We start from the raw sequence: 21,743 nt of genomic DNA on the forward strand, positions 1-21,743 counted from the left end.
TTATCTCATTTAACATAAATGTCAAAAATGATAAAGGTAATATTTGCCATTTCTTTACAAATAACCTGAAGGTATGAAATATCTTTAGTGTAGTCTGTAATTTCTATGTAACTCAGCAAAAGTTCTTAGAACCTCATGGAGAAGCTAGGAATTTAGCATAAAGTGAATACATACTAATAGCATTTATGAAGCTATTTGTCAGGCATTGTGCCAAGTGCTCTATGTGTGTTACTTGGTTTAATTCTCAGAACAACTGTGTAAGTTGTTGTGAGAAAGGAAACTTGCACAAGATGAGGCAGTGGTGGAGCCAGGATTTGACTCCAGGCTGTCACTACACTATGTTACTGGGCTACACTGCCTCACAGATTCAGAACACGCTCAGAAGACTATCACTTTGGTCACAGTGCCAGTGGCCCAAATAACCTATAGAACATTAAAGTGTATGTATGTATGCATGCATGTATGTATGTATGTAATTACTGCCCAAACTAAAAAGGCTATAATATAAAGTTTATTGTGGAAAAAAGGTAAAATCTACTAAAGGTAAACTTTTCTAAATGTTTGGAAGAGAAAGAGTACAAGGTTTAAAGTTAGGAAGCTGGGGTAAAATCCTAACTCTACCACTTACCGTTTGCCAGCTGTATGTCCTTGGGCAAACTATCTCTTTGACTCTCATTTTCTTCATAAGTAAACAAGGCCAATACCTACACTGAAGGACCTGGTTGTGAATATCAAATGTTGGTGTAGTGAAGGCCCATCATACAACATACGGTGAGTGATGGCCATATCATTGTCACACTTTAACTTAGGGACAAAAATAAAGTAATACTTGTTAGTTCTATCAGTATTTCCTTCTATCTTGTCCTTTTTCAAATTCCTGTCTCTTTTTAGCAAAATTAGGCCATTGCTTAGTTCCAGAGAAAAGGCATTTAAAACCAACACCTTACAGGTTTGGTGGCATCCAATTTTCTCCAAAAAGAAAAAAAAAAAATCTAAATATAAGAATAGGGGGAAAAAAGTACCCTATTACACCAAAAATGGGAAGAAAACAACTCAACAGAGTGACTAAATGGTTGAGAATATCTGGGGGAAAAAATGCCCTTTTCACTCAATACAGAATCAAATATATCCTATAATGCTCAGTATAAATGTGTTTATAAGAAGCAGCAGAAAAAAGCACAGGAAGAGAGGAACAAGGGTAGGTATAACATAAAAGACTTCAAAAGGTGAGGGAAGGGCAGAAAAACATCTTGGATATTAGGAAATGCTTTAATTGCTTCCTACCTTTATTTCTTTTTAGGCTTCAAAATACAGCCTGAATAAGTTAATGGCTTACTCTGGTTGGAACAAGAAATAGGACAGAAATAACAACTAAGTGTCATCTGCTAACTTTAACTGAGGGCTTCCTGAAGTGTTGTGCTGAGAATGATTCTAAGGCATACACAGGGCTTAGCCAGCAAAAGATGTGATAAATTAGTGATGTTTACTATAGACTCTGGCTACAAATTTACTATCCTGGTCAGGAGGATAAAGTGTCTGTTGAAGAAGATGAAAGGGAAGGAACTCAAAGGATCTGTTCCAGAGGAGGAAATGACCTGCAGAAAGATGATGAGGTACAAGGTATAATATCAGTGCTGTCTGTTTAATATCTGTCTATGGTTATTTGTCAACCCTGATTACCTCATATACCATTGACTGCTGAGCCACAATAGCCTTTTAAAAAGCTTAATAAGTAAATGGTACGTATCTAGACTATAGTCCTATAATTTATCTCTTAGCCAGAAACACTTTTGTTGTTGTTTTTCGAGACGAAGTCTCACTCTATCGCCCAGGCTGGAGTGCAGTGGTGCGATCTTGGCTCACTGCAACCTCCGCCTCCCACATTCAAGTGATTCTCCTGCCTCAGCCTCCCCAGTAGCTGGGATTACAGGCACACACCACCATGCCCAGCTAATTTTTGTATTTTTAGTAGAGATGGGGTTTCATGATGTTGGCCAGGCTAGTCTCGAACTCCTGACCTCAAATGATCTGCCTGCCTTGGCCTCCCAAACTGCTGGGATTACAGGCATGAGCCACCGCACCCAGCAGAAAAACTTTCATACACTATAATAAACTACTTTTGAAATAAAGCTGGCTGGTTGAACATATATAATGCTGTGAAGAAGTTTCTGGGGATGAACACCAAAGGAGAGAAGCAGAAAGGAGAAAAACTGCAGTGCCAGGGTCTAGTTTAATGACAACTTCACTTCCTTAATGCTGACAGAATGACTCCCCTCTTCCACTGCCCAAAAGCCAGATAACTGGGGCTTATTTAATGACAACAACTTGCAAATGATCACTTTCCTAATAAGAGGCCTGGTATAGGGCAGCAACACAGACCTACTTTCAAAAGTTAATTGAATACTTTTTAAGTCTGAAAAATTTCACAAAAACTATAAACAAAACAAATAAATCTAGGTTTTAGTATAGTGTGAGCAAGTTACTGAAGAAAAACATTTTATTCTGTAAAAAAAAAAAAAAATCACTGAAATAGCTTGTTAAACTTAGATAATTTCAAGTCCAACTTGTTCTTATAAAACTCATGCCAGACGCAGTGGATTGCTTGAGCAGTTAACAGTTGAAAAACACATCAGTGAGCTAAAAGATCAGGTTGAGTAATTTGCAAATATGGAATTTTTTTGTGGGAATTAAGAGACAGAAAACAACAAAATTTAATAGATAGAAATAGAAGTAGAAATATCACTATCCATACTATAGAAGTTCCAGGAGAAAATAAAGATAAGACTATTTAAGAATTTCTCAGAATTAAAGGGGGAAAAAAAGTCAGATTGAAACACCTCAAAGTGTACCAAAAAACAACAAACTACTTAAAAATGAACAAGATCAGATGAACATATGACTTTCTAATATAAACACTGGAAGCCAAAAGACAATGGAGAGATAATTTTAAGCTAAAGATGAAATCAAACTTTTAACCTAGAATTGTACATAGAACAAAAATACAGTTTTAATATAAGGATAAAGGTATCTGGGCTGGGTGTGGTGGCTCACTCCTGTAATCCCAGCACTTTGGGAGGCCAAGATGGGAGGACCACTTAAGCAACATAGGAAAACATTGTCTCTATCAAAAAAAACAAAGAGAGAGAGAGATCTGCAGGCCCACAAAAACTCGTAAGACTTAACCAAATCAAGTCTCTCTTTGAAAAACTCCAGCAAGGAGGGAAGGAGATAAATCCAAGGGAAGGCCAGGCACAGTGGCTCACACCTATAATCCCAACACTTTGGGAGGCCGAGGTAGGAGGATTGCTTGAGCCCAGGAATTGAAAACCAGCCTGAGCACCATGGCAAAACTCCATCTCTATAAAAAATACAAAAATTAGCTGGGCATGGTAGTGTGTGCCTGTAATCTCAGCCACTGGCGTGGCTGGAGTGGGAGGACTGCTGGAGCATGGGAGGTCAAGGCTACAGCGAGCTGTGATAGAGCCACTACACTCCAGCCTGGGCTACAGAGTGAGAGCCTGTCTCAACAATAACAACAAAACAAACAAAAACCCCCCAAATCCCAAGGGACTTCTATGAGATATCTGAGATATGAGAAATAAAGGAGAATAGTTAATACAATGTTTTTTGTACAAGTGAGCAATGGGAGCAAGGAGGGTGAAGACAACAAAGTATATCCCTAAAAATCCAGAACAAAAACTTTGGTGAATATGAATACGAAGAGGATTGACAAAAGAGAGACTACTTAAGAGGTAAAAATGTGCTGGGGTACCTGACTTGTTGAGGATGCTACTGATACTGATAAGCTTAAGACATAGAAGAAAAGCCTGAATATAAGCATGACTCTTAATAAGTCAGATATAATCATCAGAAAAATGATAGTGCAGGGCACATCTAAAGGAGTTACAATTATCCATTACAAAAGTCTAGCTTTAAATATTAGTGTCCAACTTAAGAAGAGAGTAAACAAAAAGAAAACAAGAAAAAGAAAATTAAGAGCAGATATCAACAAAACAAAGAACAAAAAGCAATGGAGAACCAACAGCTGATTTCAGAAAAGGCTTCCACTACTACTAATAGCAAATAGCATTAACTGAACACTTACAAAGTGTCAGGCACTATTCTAAACACTTTTCACATATTAACTAATCCTTTCAACAATCCTCTGCTTTAGGGACTATTATTACACCCATTTTGCAATTGAGAAAACAGAGGCATAGAATAGTTACATAAGTTGCCTAATGTCACAAATCTGATCAATGGAACTGATACATGACAGAATGACTCTGTAACCCAAACTCATAACTACTGTTTTGTGGAAAGGGTACTCAGACAAGACTGATCACAAGAAAGAGATAAGCAAAATAAACGAAATAATGTACTAAAGGAAAAAGGACTTTGAGCTACAGACATAGTTTCTAGAAATGAAAGAATATCATGTGTCAATAAATAACCTAGACAAAACTCACGCACTTCTTGAGTAATATAAAAGGACAAAATTGGCACAAAGGCTAGAATATGCAAATAACCATCAGAACTTCAAAGGGAAATCAAAGACCACCTTCACTTAAAATACTTTCATTAAGTGAAGTTATTCCAGAAAATGAATGCTGCTCAACAATTGCTTTCTGAGGCTATTATAACCTTTATCCCAAAACTTAGAACTGTAAATAAAACTGTAAGTCCACTTCACTTTGAACATGCATGAAAAAACCTTAAAAACCTTAAAAAAAAGAAACAACATATAAAGTGTATATAAATACAAAATACAAAATCAAGCTGAAAGACAAGAATGACAAATCTTCCAATGTTAAACCAAAGTAATTCACATTAATGAACTAAAGAAAAAAAACACATGGTTTTCTTAATAGATATACAGGGACAAAACAATATGTTTGGTAGATGATATAATTACCCTGATAGAAAACCAAAAGAATCTAGAAAGTATTAAAACAAATGAGACTTCTCAGCAATTTTGGCAAATGCATGAACTTAGGTAAAGTTGGTACAGTTCAATGTTAGCTAGCATTAAACAACTAAAAATAGTTAAAAAAATTATAAATAAGATCGCACCCACAACCAAAACGACTATCTAGGAATTAATATAAAATAGAATGCAGAAAACCTTTATGCAGAAAAATTTTAAATAAGAACATTAAAAAATGGAAAGAATGACTTAATAGCATTGAGAATGTCAACTCTCCCAGAATGAAAATTTCAAGGTAATTCCCATCAAAATTCCAGCAGAAATTTGAGGAACTCAAAAGTGATTATAAAATTTATATAAAAGTATAAAGGTCTATAGAAAATAAAAAAATAAAACTAAGAAAAAAGACTCCTCCACTTATAATCAAGAAAAACAAAATGCAGAGAATTCATACAGAACCTCAAGGAACCCAGAATAGCCAAATCAATCTTGAAAAGAAAACCTAAGTTGGAGGATTCACACTTCCCAATTTCAAAACTCATAATAAAGCAACAGTAATCAAGACAGAATGCTATTGGCATAAGGACAAATATATCTAAGGAATAGAACTGAGAATCCAGAAATAAACCTGACATTTATGGTCAGTTGATTTTTGACAAGAGTGCCAAAACAATTCAATGGTGAAAGAAGTGTTTTCAACAAATGGTGCTAGGGCAACATAATATCCACATGCAAAAGAATGAAATTTTACTCTTACTTCACACCATATACAAAAATCAACTCAAAATGAGTCAAAGACTAAATGTAAGATCTAAACTATGAAGTTCTCAAAAGAAAATATAGGCATAAATCTTTGTGACCTTGGGTTATAAAATGTTTCCTTAGAAAAGATACTGAAAGTACAAGTAACAAAGAAAAAAAAATAGATAAATCAGACTCCAAAATTAAAAACTTTCATGTTTCAAAAGACACAAGGATACTGAAAGGACAACCTACTGAATGTGAGAAAATACAAATAACCTTTACAATTCAACAATTTTAAAAGGACAGCTGGGCACGGTGGCTCAAGCCTGTAATCCCAGCACTTCGGAAGGCCGAGGCGGACGGATCATGAGGTCAGGAGATCGAGACCATCCTGCTAACATGGTGAAACCCTGCCTCTACTAAAAATACAAAAAATTAGCCGGGCATGGTGGCACGTGCCTGTATTCCCAGCTACTCGGGAGGCTGAGGCAGAAGAATCACTTGAACACGGGAGGTGGAGGTTGTAGTGAGCTGAGATCACGCCACTGTACTCCACCCTGGGGAACAGAGCAAGACTCCCGTCTCAAAAAACAAACCAAAAAAAAAAGGAAAAAAAAAAACAATAAAAGGACAACCCAATTAATAGACAAAGGGATTTATAGACATTTCTCCAAAAGATATACAAATGGCCAATGGGCATGTGAAAAGATGCTTAACACCATCAGTCATCAAGGAAATGGAAATCAAAACCACAAAGAGATACAGCTTCATCTCCATTAAGATAGCTATAATCAAAAAGACATAATAATAAAGGTTATTTGGCAGGTGGAGAAATTGGAACCCTCATACACTGCTGATAGGAAGAAAAATGGTAGTCACATTAGAAAACAATCTGATATTTCCTCAAAAACTTAAAGAGTTGCCATTTGACAAAGCAATTCTACTCTCAAGAGAAAGCAAAACCCATGTCCACACAAAAACTTGTACATGCATGTGCAGCATTATTTACAATAGCTGAAAAACGTAAGCAATCCAAATGTACACCAGCTGATGAATGGATAAACAAAATGTAGGCTGGGCGCAGCAGAGGCTCACGCCTGTAATCCCAGTACTTTGGGAGGCCAAGGCGGGAGAATCCCCTGAGTTCAGGAGTTCAAGACCAGCCTGGCCAACATGGTGAAACCCCGCCTCTACTAAAAACACAAAAATTAGCTGGTGTGGTGGTGCATGCCTTTAATCCCAGCTACTTGGGAGGCTGAGGCAGGAGAATTGCTTGAACTCGGGAGGCGGAGGTTGCAGTGAGCTGAGATCGCGCCACTGCACTCCAACCTGGGCAACAGACTGAGATTCCATTTCAAAAAAAAAAAAACCAAGAAAACAAAAACAAAACAAAAGGTAGTATATATATCCATAAAATGGGGATGAGGAGAACAGGAGGGATGGAGAATAATAACTAAAGGATAACAGGTTTCTTTCTGGGGTAATGAAAATGTTCTAAAATTGATTTGGGTGATTGTTGCACAATTCTGTGAAAATTCTGTGAATATATATATTAAAAACATTGCCGGGCGCAGTGGTTCACACCAGTAATCCCAGCACTTTGGGAGGCCGATGTGGGCAGAACACGAGGTCAGGAGTTCAAGACCAGCATGACCAACATGGTGAAACCCTATCTCTACTAAAAATGCAAAAATTAGCCAGGCATGGTGGCACACACCTGTAATCCCAGCTACTCAGAGGCTGAGGCAGGAGAATCGTTTGAACCTGGGAGGCGGAGGTTGCCATGAGCTGAGATTGCGCCATTGCACTCCAGCCTGGGCGACAGGGCGAGACTCCATCTCAAAACAAACAAACAAACAAAAATTGAGTTGTATCTTAAATATTTGAGTGTTATGGTATGTCAATTATATATTAATAAAGAAGTTACCAGAAAATGTCTATAAAGAGCAAAGGTATATACATGTATTTGTGGGGTAGATAGGAATTTTCCCTCCCAGATATTAAGACACACTGCACAAAGTCCAAGTAATAAAGACAGAGTGGTGCTGGTACAGAAACAAATAGACCTAGTAACAGAGCTTATGAATAAACCCCTATGTGAATGGGACTAGGGATTGACACAGCTGGTTTCTCAAAGCAGTAGGAAAGGATGGATTCTTTAGTAGATTGTGCTGGGAAAACTTACCACATGGGTAAAGTGGTTGGATCACTACATCATGGAATACAGAAAGCAAATTCCAGGCAGATCACAGACTTAAAGAGCAAAACTAATTTTTACACAATCCACAAAAGACAAACATTGGTAGATTTAGCTTCATTCAAATAAAGGATTTCTCTTAAATGAAAAATGTCAGGGCAGCCGTGGTGGCTCACGCCTGTAATCCTAGCACTTTGGGAGGACAAGGCAGGTGGATCACCTGAGGTCAGGAGTTCAGGACCAACCTGGCCAACATGGTGAAACCCCATCTCTACTAAAAATACAGAAATTAGTTGGGCATGGTGGCGCGTGCCTGTAATCCCAGCTACTCGGGAGGCTGAGGCAGAAGAATCACTTGAGCCTGGGAGGCAGAGGTTGCAGTGAGCCGAGATTGCATCATTGCACTACAGCTTGGGTGACAGAGCAAGACTCTGTCTCAAAAAAAAAAAGAAAGAGAAAAGATAAATGTCCTTTTTTGGATGAATTCATCATCCCAAACTGTCAGAATATTTAAAATGTAGGGAACTTCAGCAAAAACAAGAAAAAACTGGGTAACTCAAGAACAATGGGCAAAAGATAGGAATAGGCAATTCATATGGCTAACAAGTATATGAAAAAAGGCTCAACCTCACCAACTATCAGAGAAATCAAAAAATAATACATCAAAACTAAAAGAAAAAATTAGAAAGCTGAGTATTATCAAGTGCTGGTGAGAATGGGGAAAATGGAAATCTTTGTAAACTGCTTGGTAAGCCATTGTGTTTACCAATGACCCAGAATCTCTCTCTTGGGTAAGTACTACAAAGAAATACTTGCACAGGTCCTTTAAGTGTATCTGAAGTATTATTTGTGTCAGGGCCTGAGATGCAATATAGGTTCCATAACTGGGGAAATGAGTAAGCATGTGTTGGATGCAGATAATAGAAAATTAACACAGTCAGAAGCAAAGACTGATGACTAGGGATTAAATATAATGGTATTGGGTGAAAAAAGTAAGGTACGAACAGATCTATAATATCATTAACATACATGCAAAACAGACATAAACATTATCTTTGAGGACAAATACATTTCTAAGGGTACATATGTCAGAGTATATGCTTACCAAAGGGGTAATGGGGATGGAGGTTGAAGGGAAAAAAAAAAAAAAGGAAATTAAGTAAAACAAGAGCAGGGCCTATGCTCATAGATTGATGGTGATAATGCGCCATGAACTAGATTAGAAATTCCAGAGGGTAACAATCACATCTGCTTGCTTACAACTGGACATCTAGTATCAAGCAGAATACTTGACATATAGTAGGGTTTCTAATATTTCTTAAATGAATGAGTTAGTAAATTATTAAGACTGATTCAACTCTTTGCACCCAAGAAGCTCCTACAAAAGAAAGAAATTCACTAAATTTACATGTCAAGAAAAAATGCAAAAATGTTTTGTTACTATTACTTAGGTTTTTCATATGGGGGCAAAACAGAATCTTTTTCATATGGGGGCAAAAGAGAAGCAGTCAAATAAAAATCTATGAACCTAAGTGGGGGCAGGTGGAAAAAGCCTTGCAAGTTACTCAAATCACTCAATGTGTTATGAAACACAGAGAAGGACCCTATTCCAGGGAGGAGGGAATCTTGCCCCTCTTGCAATAAATACACAAAATGAAAGGTCAGGCCGGGAACGGTGGCTCATGACTGTAATCCCAGCAATTTGGGAGGCCAAGGCAGGAGGATCACTTGAGGTCAGGAGTTCGAGACCAGCCTGGCCAACATGGTGAAACCCCATCTCTACTAAAAAAATAATAATAATTAATATAAAAATTAGCCAGGCGTGGAGGCGTACACCTGTCATCCCAGCTACTCAGGAGTCTGAGGCAGGAGAATGGCTTGAACCCGGGAAGCAGAGGTTACAGTGAGCCGAGATTGCACCACTGCACTCCAGCCTGGGTGACAGAACAAGACTCTGTCTCCAAAAAAAAAAAAAAAAGGGGGTCACCTCAATGTTAAACAGATGGCCCATTGTGAAAATTAAGGTTTTCCTTTTGGCAGGGCATTCAACAATTTCTTCACTTACAGCAAGAGCAATTTCCTAAAATTGTATGAAATAATAATTTAAGAATCTGCTTCTCCTGGTAACGTTTTCCTCCTCAATGACAAAGAAAAAAGATAAATAACTGATTCTTTCTCAGCAAAACAGGAAGACTAATGTAAAAAAAAGTCCCTAAATAGAATGACCTACTGTATCTCCTTCCTCTCTTCTAACGTAAGAAATTACTGACATGACTCCTGTCAATTTTTGACATAATAACAATTTACTAGGGGAAAAAAAATCTCCTTTTGATCTCCTTGTAATAGTTTCTTGGTAATGCAGACCAACTCATATTACTACTAATTATTATAAGGTTTAAGATTTTTGTTGTACTGAACTAGCATTAAAAGTCTTTAAAAGCAGGTTTAGAGAAAACATTTAAAAGAATGCTTATATCTTTCTTCATTTTGTGTGATATGTTGACAACTATGCTCAGTACACTGTATGTGATAAACCATTTAAATTTTGATATATTAGATTTCATGTTAAGAACTATAGTCTAAAATTCAAGATGAATTACTCCATTTATGGATAACTCTGGGGATGCAATATCATTCTGTGTAATCTGTAGTAGTATTCAAAGTATAGCTACATGTGAAACTCTAAGCTCTGAGTGTTATGGTTTTTAGAAAGCCATACACATTACAGAGTTTAGTACATACAGAGAAGCTGAATATTCACCTTGAAAGAAGATGAAGCATCCAAAACACAGTATCAAAGTTTCCTGGGCCAGGCACAGTGGCTCATGCCTGTAATCTGAGCACTTTGGGAGGCCGAGTCAGGAGGATCTCTTGAGGCCAGGAGTTCAAGACCAGCCTGGGCAACATAGGGAGACCCTGTCTCAAAAAAAAAAAAAAAAAATCCACTAACTCACTAACTACAACTTGAACAGGAGGTACTTAGTTGTAACAATGTTTTAAAACATTTTCTATCTTATCTGGGCATGCCTTATGCAGGACCAAAGCTCGTCACACTCTGTTGCCCCGGCTGGAGTGCAGTGACGTGATCTCGGCTCACTGCACCCTCCGCCTCCCAGGCTCAAGCGATCCTCCTACCTCAGCCTCCCGAGCAGCTGGGACCACAGGTGTGTGCCACCATGTCTGGCTAATTATTCGTACTTTTTGTAGAGACAGGGTTTCATGGATGAAACGGGTTCACAGATGAAACAAGTTTCATCTGTGAGATCAAAGGGCTCAAAATTCAGGTGACTTTGCAGGAAAAAGTCAGCTCTGCTTGAAGACACAAACTGGATGAACTGCATGCTACATGAGTTTTTAAACTCGGAGAAAAAATTTAAAAATATTAATGTTTTAATATTTTGAATTAAAAGAAGAAATTTTTGCAAAACCTCTTCTTTGAAAAAGAATCATGTCTGGTACTTTTAAGGTAAAGTTGCAATTTTTAAATACCAATAAGATTCTAGATATAGAGTGTAACAGTGCCAATGGGTCACTTGAAAACACCCTTAGAAGTGTGGGTTTTGTTGGGGTAAACTGAACAAACGCCTTAATAATTTGAGTTTAGAAAAATTTAGAGGAGTTTCTCAAATGGAAAAAAAAATGTACTGGGCAATGTGCAAATAAGAGTCCTTTCTCACTGGTGGAAAGTACTGGAGTTAGACGAAAAAAGAAAGTTGAGGTGAAGATAGGAGGCATCAACCAGAGACATCAAAATAGTGTCAGTTCTAGTGTAAGTTGTGAACTTACTATCCTAGTAAAAAAAAAGCTAGTAAGGTTCAGAAATGAAGATGTTAGATCTATGATGACATTATAGTAGAAGATGAAAATTAAGGGTAAAGAGTCTATAAGCTGTGCCAAGCAAACTAATTTGGGTCAGAAGTCCTATTTATTTTAATGCAGTGCTTTTTATTACTTTTGTTTTCCCTCAGTTTCTTGATACTGCTAGACACTGCACTAGCTAAGCACTCACTCTCCACATATGATTATTTAAATTTAAATTACCTAAAATTAAATATTCACTTCTTCAATCCCACCAGCCACTGTGGCTACAAGTTACACAGCATAGTATGAATATTTCTTTCACTACAGAAAGCCCTAATGGGCAGTGCTGAACGAAAACCTTTGAAACCCAGACAATCCAGAACAAACAGTTCCATGCTTTAAATTCATACTAGCTTCAAATGCTAAAGAGCACCTTCCTTCCTGGCTTTTCCATCAAAGTACATATACGTAAATCTCATAGATCTTTCTGTTGAACATTGATAAAACACACAGAACTAAGTGAGATTGCCTACACAAGACTATTCTGGAAAATTTTATCTTTATGACACAGACTTATTTCTAACCCAATTCTAACATAAAAGCCATTTTATTAAAAATGAGCAGTGCAACTCAATTAGGCTATCTATATGTTTTAATCCACGGTTTGATGAATCAAAAGGATTCATGTTCTTGAGAGGTTCCTTGTAAGCTGAAGTTGCAAGTAAACCATGAGAAAGTGTAAAAAACACTTGTGACTATTAGCTAATGAATTTCTGAACATAGTCCAAAACAGTATCCTAAACACTTACAATCTTGATGATCCACCAGAGCAATGTCCTAACAAGTGAACAAAGTCTTACTGATGGAGCAGTAAAATAGGTTGTTGGTTTTTGCATATGCTAGTATCACATATTCCTATAAAACTTTTGGTGACTGGAAAGTACAATTAGCTCAGGGCTTTTAAAAGTCACACCTTTACCTGTTGCTGAGCGTAAGCTAGACATGAACAGACACATGTTTTCTCTCCCTAATCATCAGCTTTTGGCATTTCTATTCTAAGAATCCAAATCATGCTTATCCTCAAACTCAAAGTTCATAGAAAAGCTGTCATATTACATTGTTCCAGAAACATTCCACAATGCACATTATTCCCTAGTTTATAAGTAAAATAAGTCCCTGAGAAACTTTTCAGGTGAGTACCTACTCAGTATTTTTCATACCATAGAACACCCATATGTACCTCAATATTATCTAGTCAATGTAGTCACAAATCTCACAAAATTTAAGGATTATTGATTATAAATAATGAATACAATCTTTTTTTAAAAAGAGGTTCATATTATGGGTACCCCAGTTTGAATTTCTAAGAGTTACAAAAAAGATTATTTCTAAGAGTTTATACAAAAAGTTTATAAAACCATTTACAGGTCAATACAGCATATGAGCATGGACCCACACAACCCTTATTTACCAAGCAGTAAATAAAATAAGGTGTTTCAATAAAGTTAAAAAAACTTTACCAAACAACAACAAAGGTTTTGTTTTTTAGGCAACTGAAACTGCTGTAAAACATATTAGAGCTACAGTGAAAAGACAAAAACGTAAACGGTGATAATACTACTACTGTATGCAAATAAATATTAGTCAAGTTCCACAATAGGGATTTGATATTTTAAGAAATAACATTGCTATTATGAAAGTATTACAAGACAAAGTTTAAAAAAAAAAACAAACCAGCCAGGTGCAGTGTCTCACGCCTGTAATCACAGCACTTTGGGAGGCTGAGGCGGGCGGATCACAAGGTTAGGAGTTCGAGACCAGCCCGGCCAATATAGTGAAACTCCATCTCTACCAAAAATACAAAAAAATTAGCCAGGCGTGGTGGCAGGCGCCTGTAATCATAGCTACTCGGGAGGCTGAGGCAGGTGAATCACTTGAACCTAGGAGGTACAGGCTGCAGTGAGCCGAGATTGCACCACTGCACTCCAGCCTGGACGACAGTGCGAGACTCCGTCTAAAGAAAAAAAAAAAAATCAAACCGCATGTTACACTATTTTTTAAAAGTCTCCTCGCCAGGCTAAAATTAGGATTGGTTAAAAGTCCACTTCAAAAAATGAAGTTCCCTAGATACTGTCTCCAACTCATAAGAGTAGAGGTTTATATTGGGAAAACCTCCTCTGAGGAATCAGACTAATCTGAAAGACATATCTTAAAAGAGACTGATATGGCAAATTACACAGGGAAGTTGGGGGATCTGGGAGCGTATTTGTGCGATACTGGTGGGGGACAGCTATGCTCTCTACTGTAAGTGGGATGTCAACATGTAAGAAGTAGTAATATAATACTGTTATCTAGCGACATGGAAGTAAACACCAAAAGAATCATTCAAAAATAACTAAATGCCCCTGGGAATTTGTAGAATTATTTGGCTTCCTGACCACATACATGTACAAAACTGATAAAAAACAAAAAATGACCAAAACAAACAAACAAACAAAAAAACACTTAAAACTTCTTTAGTCTCTTCCCTAATCCCAACCCAAACCTCAGCCTTGTTCTCAGAAATTACAATTTTGGGTCATTTGTTTTTAATTCTTCTAGTGCTTACTACCATACTCATTTTTTAAAAAAATCCATTATTTCTTATCACAGTGTAGCCTCATTATAAAAGACTGAGCGGGCTGGGCAAGGTAGCTCATACCTGGAATCCCAGCACTTTAGGAAGCAGAGGCAGGTCGATCACTTGAGGTCAGGAGTTTCAAGACCAGCCTGGCCAACATGGTGAGACCCTGTTTCTACTAAAAATAAAAATAAATAAATAAATAAATAAATAAATAAATATTAGCTGGGAGTGACGGTGCATGTCTGCAATCCCAGCTAGTCGGGAGGTTGAGACAGGAGAATAGCTTGAGCCCAGGAGACAGAGGTTGCAGTGAGCCAAGTTTGTGCCACAGCATTCCAGCCTGGGTGACAGAGCTGGACTCTGTCACACAGACACACACACACACGAAAGACTGAGAAGATTTACCCTAATTCCCACCTTCTATGCTCATTCTGATTTATTTTAGTTTGTATTAGTTATAACTTTAGATATTATAGCTGAACCTGTATTTCTTATTCTATCAACTTTAGGAAGTTTCTTCTGGCTCCCCCATGTAATCATATACCATTATTGCTGACTATACAATTAAGTTTCACATTAAGTTTTATATCATTTGCAATTTATTAAGTTTTTATCTATTGGTTGATTCTCATTAATTGGATAATAAAAAGTACTTACAGTGTCATTCACTGCCCATCCAAGGGGCATGGTAAAACTCAGAGAATAAACAGCAATTTTATGTCACTAAATTCCAAGTGTCAAGGTGTTTACATTCTTGATACTCAATTACACCTCACTGTTCAAAAATAAGGCACATTTTCGTTTGCTTCACATTTGGACTTTCAGAAGAGGCTTTAATTTTCTGAAGTTTTTGCCTTTTTATTACATTTAACATATTCCAATTTATTAGAATTTGTTCAACAAAATCCATGTTGTTCTTAAAGACATGTTTAGACCCCAGTGATTTCTGTTTTAATTTGAAATAATTATGTTCTGGGTTAGTTCACAGCCCAGTTGCCTGCCTACCTAGTACTTCTTTTCATCACATACCTCTGTTGATTCTGAATCTCAAGCTCCTTTTTGTAAGATTTTTTTGTTTGATTTTGCTGTACTACAACTCCCAAGCACTACCCCCCACCCCCTTACCCAAAGGTCTGGCGAAGTAAACTACACTGTTATGTATACTTCCACACTTACAGCAAACTAGGTCTGCTTCAGAATTATAGGTTGTTTCTTAAAATTCTCCTCGAAATTTAAATCATTGGTCCACATTTTCTAGTACCAAGTAATAAAAGTGTCTACCAATCTGATTTTTTAAAAGTGATTCTCATCTCTCAAAAATATTTATGAGATTTCCCTACATCCTTAGCTCTGAAATTTCATAAGCCTATTATCTAAATGTGTGTTATTGTTTGTCCATTTTGTTTTATACTTAATGGGTCCATTTGATCTAAAGCCCCGAGTCTTTACTTAGCTCAGATAATTTTTCTTCTATTTCCTCTCCATCTTCTCTGTTCCATGTGGAATTCCTTTTTAGGAATCCTAGGACTATCCACTATATCTATAAAGCTTTTCTTTTTGTTCTCTTCATTTGTGTTTTTCAGGTAATGCTTGTTCATCTTGGGTTTCATGCTGTTGGAATGCTTCTTTCTTGACTGTTCATATTTCTAAGCAAAGAACTAAATTGGGTTTCCTTTATATTTGTGTAAGCCTATTGACCCAGAAGGCCTATAGTCTGAATAGGACTGACTGCAGAATTGGAACTCCTGTAACTGCTAGAATAAAGAGGATTTTGGAGATAGAGTAGTCAGTGTCAGTCTGTCTCTCACAAACACACACATACGCACTCTCTCTCTCACACACACTCATACCCTGTCTATAGGGCAAACAAGTATGTTCTGTTTATCTCTTCAATGGGACCAGAAGATACTTTACAAATATTCGAGAACATAGTACAGCTTTAACTCTTGGTCCAATAATGTAATTAAAAATTTTACCCAGTAAATTCTTCTAGTGAGATGCCAACGAAGCCTTTGGACAGCACGATAGCACAGTGTAGTCCAAAGAGCACTAAGAATCAAAAGAGCCATGGCTTTCAGTTCTAGTTTTACTATTAAAAAGCTGGTGACTTTAGGGAAGTCAATCTCTTTATACCTCATTTTCCTTTTCTACAAAGTGAAAAGCATAAACTGATAATAAGGTTTCTTCTAGTTCTAAAACTTTGTAACTAAGATGTTCTCATAAGCTTCAGATACAATCTTCCATAGTATATAAAAAGAATGAAGAAATTTATAATTTGAAAAACTTCAGGTTTTCAAAGTTGTTCCGGCTACTAAAAACAAAGCTCCTGGCCAGGCGCAGTGACTCACACCTGTAATCCCAGCACTTTGGGAGGTCGAGGTGGGCGAATCACGAGGTCAGGAGATCGAGACCATCCTGGCTAACACGGTGAAACCTCATCTCTACTAAAAATACAAAAAAATTAGCCAGGCGTGGTGGCGGGCGCCTGTAGTCCCAGCTACTTGGGAGGCTGAGGCAGGAGAATGGCATGAACCCGGGAGGTGGAGCTTGCAGTGAGAGGAGATCACGCCACTGCACTCCAGCCTGGGTGACAGAGTGAGACTCCCTCTCAAAAAAAAACAAAAACAAACAAACAAAAAACACAAAGCTCCTAAACAAGTACACTATATTTACCAAAATTTAGTTAATATAAAATTTATAAACATAAATTTACATTTAGCAAATTAATTTGGGGGGGGGAAGGCAGGTGATAAGGTGGGGGAAGTGCAGAGGTGAGAGAGTAAGGGAGGTTGTCATTTCCTACAGCTGTTTTCCAAAATGAGTGGTTTTTGTATCTTGGTCACTGTAGGGAAATAATGTTGTGTTTTTTAAATTATGGTAAAATATAGATAAAAGTTACTATTTTAAGTGTACAGTTCCATGGCATTAAATACATCCACATTATTGTGCAATTATCACCAGATTTTATTTTTCATCTTCCCCAACTGTAACTCTATACCCACTAAACAATAACATCATTTTCTTCTCCTGCCAGCCTCTGGCAACCACCATTTTGTCTCTATGAATTTGACTATTCTAAGTACCTCATACAAGTGGAATTATACAATATTTGTCCTTTTGTGACAGGCTTATTTCATTGTAGCATGTCTTAGAATTTCCCTTCCTTTTCAAGGCTGAAAAATATTCCATTGTACCTAAAACAAACTATTTTGTCCTTTGCACTCACACCACAACAATCACCAGAATACTTCTGTGACCAGATGTATGAGAGATTTCCCCCAATGCAAGCAATCGCTTCTGCAGTGGACACCAGGTGGGTGTCCTCCCACCCAGTTCAATTCCAACATTATCTACCTGGAGACAGTGTCACATCCCACAGGTTGAGGGCTCCCCACTTCCAATCCCAATCTAAAGCCCCAGGTTGTTTTACCTATGCTTCTGACTAACTGGCTATAAATTGGGGTTCCCACAACCTCTTACTCCAGTCTGATTAATGTGTTAGAGCGACGCACAGAACTCAGGGAGACAGATTTACCAGTTTATTATAAAGGATATTACAAAGGATACAGTTGAAGAGATGCACAGGGCAAGGCATGTAGGAAGGGGATGCCACCCTCCATGTGCTCAGCCATCTGGAAGCTTTCTGAATCCAGTCCTTTTGGATTTTTATGGAAGCTTTGTTAAGTAGGCAATGATTGATTAAATCACTGGCTGTTGGTATCAACTTAACCTTCACGCCCTCTCTCCTACCCAGAGATTAACAGGCAGGACTGTAAATCCCAACCCTCTAATCCTGCCTGTTTCTGGGTAACTAACATCCATCCAATAGCTACCTAGAGGTGCATGGCTTTCAGTCAACTTGTTAGCATACAAAGATACTTCACTGGCCGGGCGCGGTGGCTCACGCCTGTAATCCCAGCACTTTGGTAGGCCAAGGCGGGTGGATCACAAGGTCAGGAGATGGAGATCATCCTGGCTAACATGGTGAAACCCTGTCTCTAATAAAAATACAAAAAAATTAGCTGGGTGTGGTGGCGGGCACCTGTAGTCCCAGCTACTCGGGAGGCTGAGGCAAGAGAATGGTGTGAACCCAGGACAGCGCTTGCAGCGAGCTGAGATCGCACCACTGCACTCCAGCCTGGGCGACAGAGCGAGACTCTATCTCAAAAAAAAAAAAAAAAAAAAAAAAAAAAAAAAAAGGATACTTCACTTTGGAGATTCTAAGGATTGTTGGAGTTGTATGACACAACACAAGAATGAAGATCAAATATATATTTCACAATATAATGCACATTTTGCTTGTCCTTTCATCTACTGATGTTTGACTTATTTCTTATTTATCAGTTGGTAACAAAATAGATACTATAACCAATTTGTGTATACATATAAAACTGGATTAAGGTAATAAATACATTAAATTTCAAATTTTTTAGATTTTTTAAAGATGGTGTCTCAGTCTGTTGCCCAGGCTGGAGTGCAGTGGCACCATTTGGGCTCACTGCAACCTCTGCCTCCTGGGTTCAAGTAGGCTCTGCCTCAGCCTCTCAAGTAGCTGGAATTACAGGTGCCCCGCCACGACACCCAGCTGCCAAAATTTTTAGAAGTTTTATCTTTAGCACTTGGGGCATTATTACTAAAAAATTAAATTGCAGTCTGTACATATTATTAAAAGCTACCTTCTAAAAGCATGGAAATGTATACAAAGGGCCCAGAAAGTCTTATTTCAAAAGGAACTAGACTTCTTGGGCTTAAAAATGTTCATTTTAGCCAGGTGTGGTGGCTCATGCCAGCTACTTGGGTGGCTGAGGTAGGAGAATACTTGAGCCCAGAAATTTGAAGCTGCAGTAAGCTATGATCACACCATGGCACTACCAGTCTAGGTGACAAAGCAAGAACACGTCTCCTAAAAAAAAAAAGTTTCTTTTGATTGTACAATTAATCAAATGAACCATTTCATAAATCATTTACTAACTATAAGGTCATGTTTGTCCTTATTAGTTTTGAACCATATAACATACCCCTCCCCACTGCACATACTTAAATTCAAGTATACCTACACCTAGCAATGGCTGCCACACAGAAATCACTCAAAAGCCACTGCTGGCTGAGCTGAATTTTGTCAAAACAAATCAAACAGTATTATTATTGACTGGCAAATCCAAACTTTCAGGTTTAAAACTTTGCTAGGTTAGAAAAGCCAGGCTAGTGTTAATTTACCAAAACACACTTATGCAGCACTTACTAGGTCTTGCTCCAAGTGCTTTAACAATCCTATGAGATAGATATTATTTTTTCCTCCCTCCTCCCACCCCATTTACAGATGAGGAAACAGAAACATAGATAAGTTTAACTTATGCAAGACCACAGTGTTAGTAAATGGTAAAGCCAGGTTTCATATTCAGCAGTCATCAGGAAGTGTTCTTAGACCTGGAAGCCAAGAAGTTATAACTTCTTAAGGAATTTGACTAGACCAGTACTTACTTGCCTAAAGACTATGTCCTGGCCAAATAGGGTATATAATTGTGTTTCAGGCTGAATTATCTGTCTTTGCAACTTACTCTCAAGATTCTTCTGCCTTCTGTAGAATACCAGTATGGAAAAAGGAGGCTATGACCCAGTATAGATTTTTAAAGTTGAGAAGTACTACATTACCTTACTTTGTAAAGTCTGCAATTTGAAGAATGCATCAAGCTGTTCAGCCTCTGAAACACCAATCTGTCAATGTTCTAATACTTAGTTAACTTTCTTATTAATATCTTCTACCAGAAAATGTCAATGTCTCAGGATAACATTATACTGTATATTGCTCTCAGACCTGACTTTGGACAAACCCTTATTTGGATGGTTCGGAGCTAGGTACTATTTAATCAATTCCATGCAAAATCACTTAATGTGCCAACAGCTTGGGGTCAAGCCTAAAAATTACTTTGGAATGCAACAGGACTATTTAGAGCTGTGGTTCATGGAAAACTCCTGAAACTACATGCAAAATTTTGGGACAAAAGGTCCAAAATATTTAATAACAGACTGACTTGAAAACTACTTTCTCAAAACTCTGGAGGTTCTTAAGATATATTACATTTTCATTTTAAGCTTCTCAGGCTTTACCACTCACCCAATCTAGAACAGCTATAATATCTTAATTTCTATTCAGAAAGCTAAAAGAACCCTTCCTTTTTGCACCTATCTCATCTGTGGTTAAGATGGATATTTCCAGTGCTGTGTAAGACATTTGTTACAAAATAAACCAAGCTGAATCTTAATCTACTCATATCTTGATTCAGTGAATGCTCATTCTGTCCCCAACTTCACTTCTATATGATTAACATTCTCAGCTGTAGATAGGAATTTCTACATTGTACTCCTGACTTCAATTTCTTTTTTTATCTTTTAGAATTGCATAAAATTGCAGACTACAAATGTAGTAGCAGACTTCTTATCCCTGCCCTGAAAATATGTCTACATACGGGCATTAAGGAATATCCCTAGTTCTGTCACCTATCCAGTGGGGGTTCAAGAGAACTTGGTCAAGATATCAAACTTCTAAAAAATATCTTGAGTTCTTGGTAACTTAGAGATACTGGTGAAGGAGGAGGGTTAGAATTTCAGCCTGCGAATAAAAAAGATGCCAAATTTGTAGCATAAGGCTTCAGCTTTTCCTAGTGGAAATGCTGTTTAAAAAGTCCTCTGATGGTTATTACAAAGTCAAGCAAATAAACAGGGGGTCTATGTATATATACAGTTCTATCTTCTACCAAAACACACACACACACACACACACATATATATATATACCTTCTTCAAGACATAGGAGTGTCCCTCTCCTCACCTTTTCAAAGGCAAATGACAGAATTAAAAGGGAAAATGGGATAAATGGACATAGAGAAAATTGATTAAACCCCTGTATAGGTTTTCATGTTGTTACAAAAAAGATCCTTTTTTCTGAGCTGAAGAAGCTGAATTTGGTTAGGAAATGTCATTTCTCTCTTCTAGCAGCCCTGGGGCTGATTATATACAAAACCTCTTAGAATAAGGGTTAAGATGTTCAGTGGTGGGTGCCCAAGAGGAAGTACAGAACAATAAGAAAATGTTTAGGTCTCTCATTGGAGACACATGAATTTATAACTAGAAAGAATTTTAGGTGCCAACTAATGGCTAATAAATCAATCTGTCCCCTTTTTACCTAAAGATTAACCAAGAAAAGTTACAGAAGTGGCAGCTCCAAGAATAACCTATAAAACTAATTAATAACAGTTGGCTTAGAGGGTTTCAACCACTCCATATCATTAAACTTCTTGTAACCTTGCCCTACACGAGATATAAAGTCATTCTGCAGGCCACGCTCAGTGGCTCATCCCAGCACTTTGGGAGGCCAAGGTGGAAGGATCACTTGAGCCTGAGTTCAAGACCAGCTTGGGCAACATAGTGTGTACAAAAAATAAAAATTAGCT

General features: G+C 37.6%; 1 protein-coding gene across 8 annotated transcripts in view; it reads right to left on the reverse strand.

Moving 5' to 3' along the window:
* Positions 1-21,743, reverse strand: part of ABHD17B (abhydrolase domain containing 17B, depalmitoylase) — a 48,742-nt gene that overhangs the window by 13,179 nt on the left and 13,820 nt on the right. Inside the window, exon 1 of one of the 8 annotated variants that reach the window (XM_047423446.1) lies at positions 7,389-7,477. The exons of 6 other annotated variants lie outside the window; for them this stretch is intronic. The gene's annotated coding sequence lies outside the window, so the exon portion shown is untranslated. Of the gene's footprint in view, positions 1-7,388; positions 7,478-10,629; positions 10,780-21,743 lie in introns of those variants that run through there. One more of the 8 variants, XM_017014789.3, reaches the window with a different exon arrangement.

Source organism: Homo sapiens, chromosome 9 (assembly GCF_000001405.40).
Source record: "Homo sapiens chromosome 9, GRCh38.p14 Primary Assembly".
Lineage (NCBI taxonomy): Eukaryota > Metazoa > Chordata > Mammalia > Primates > Hominidae > Homo > Homo sapiens.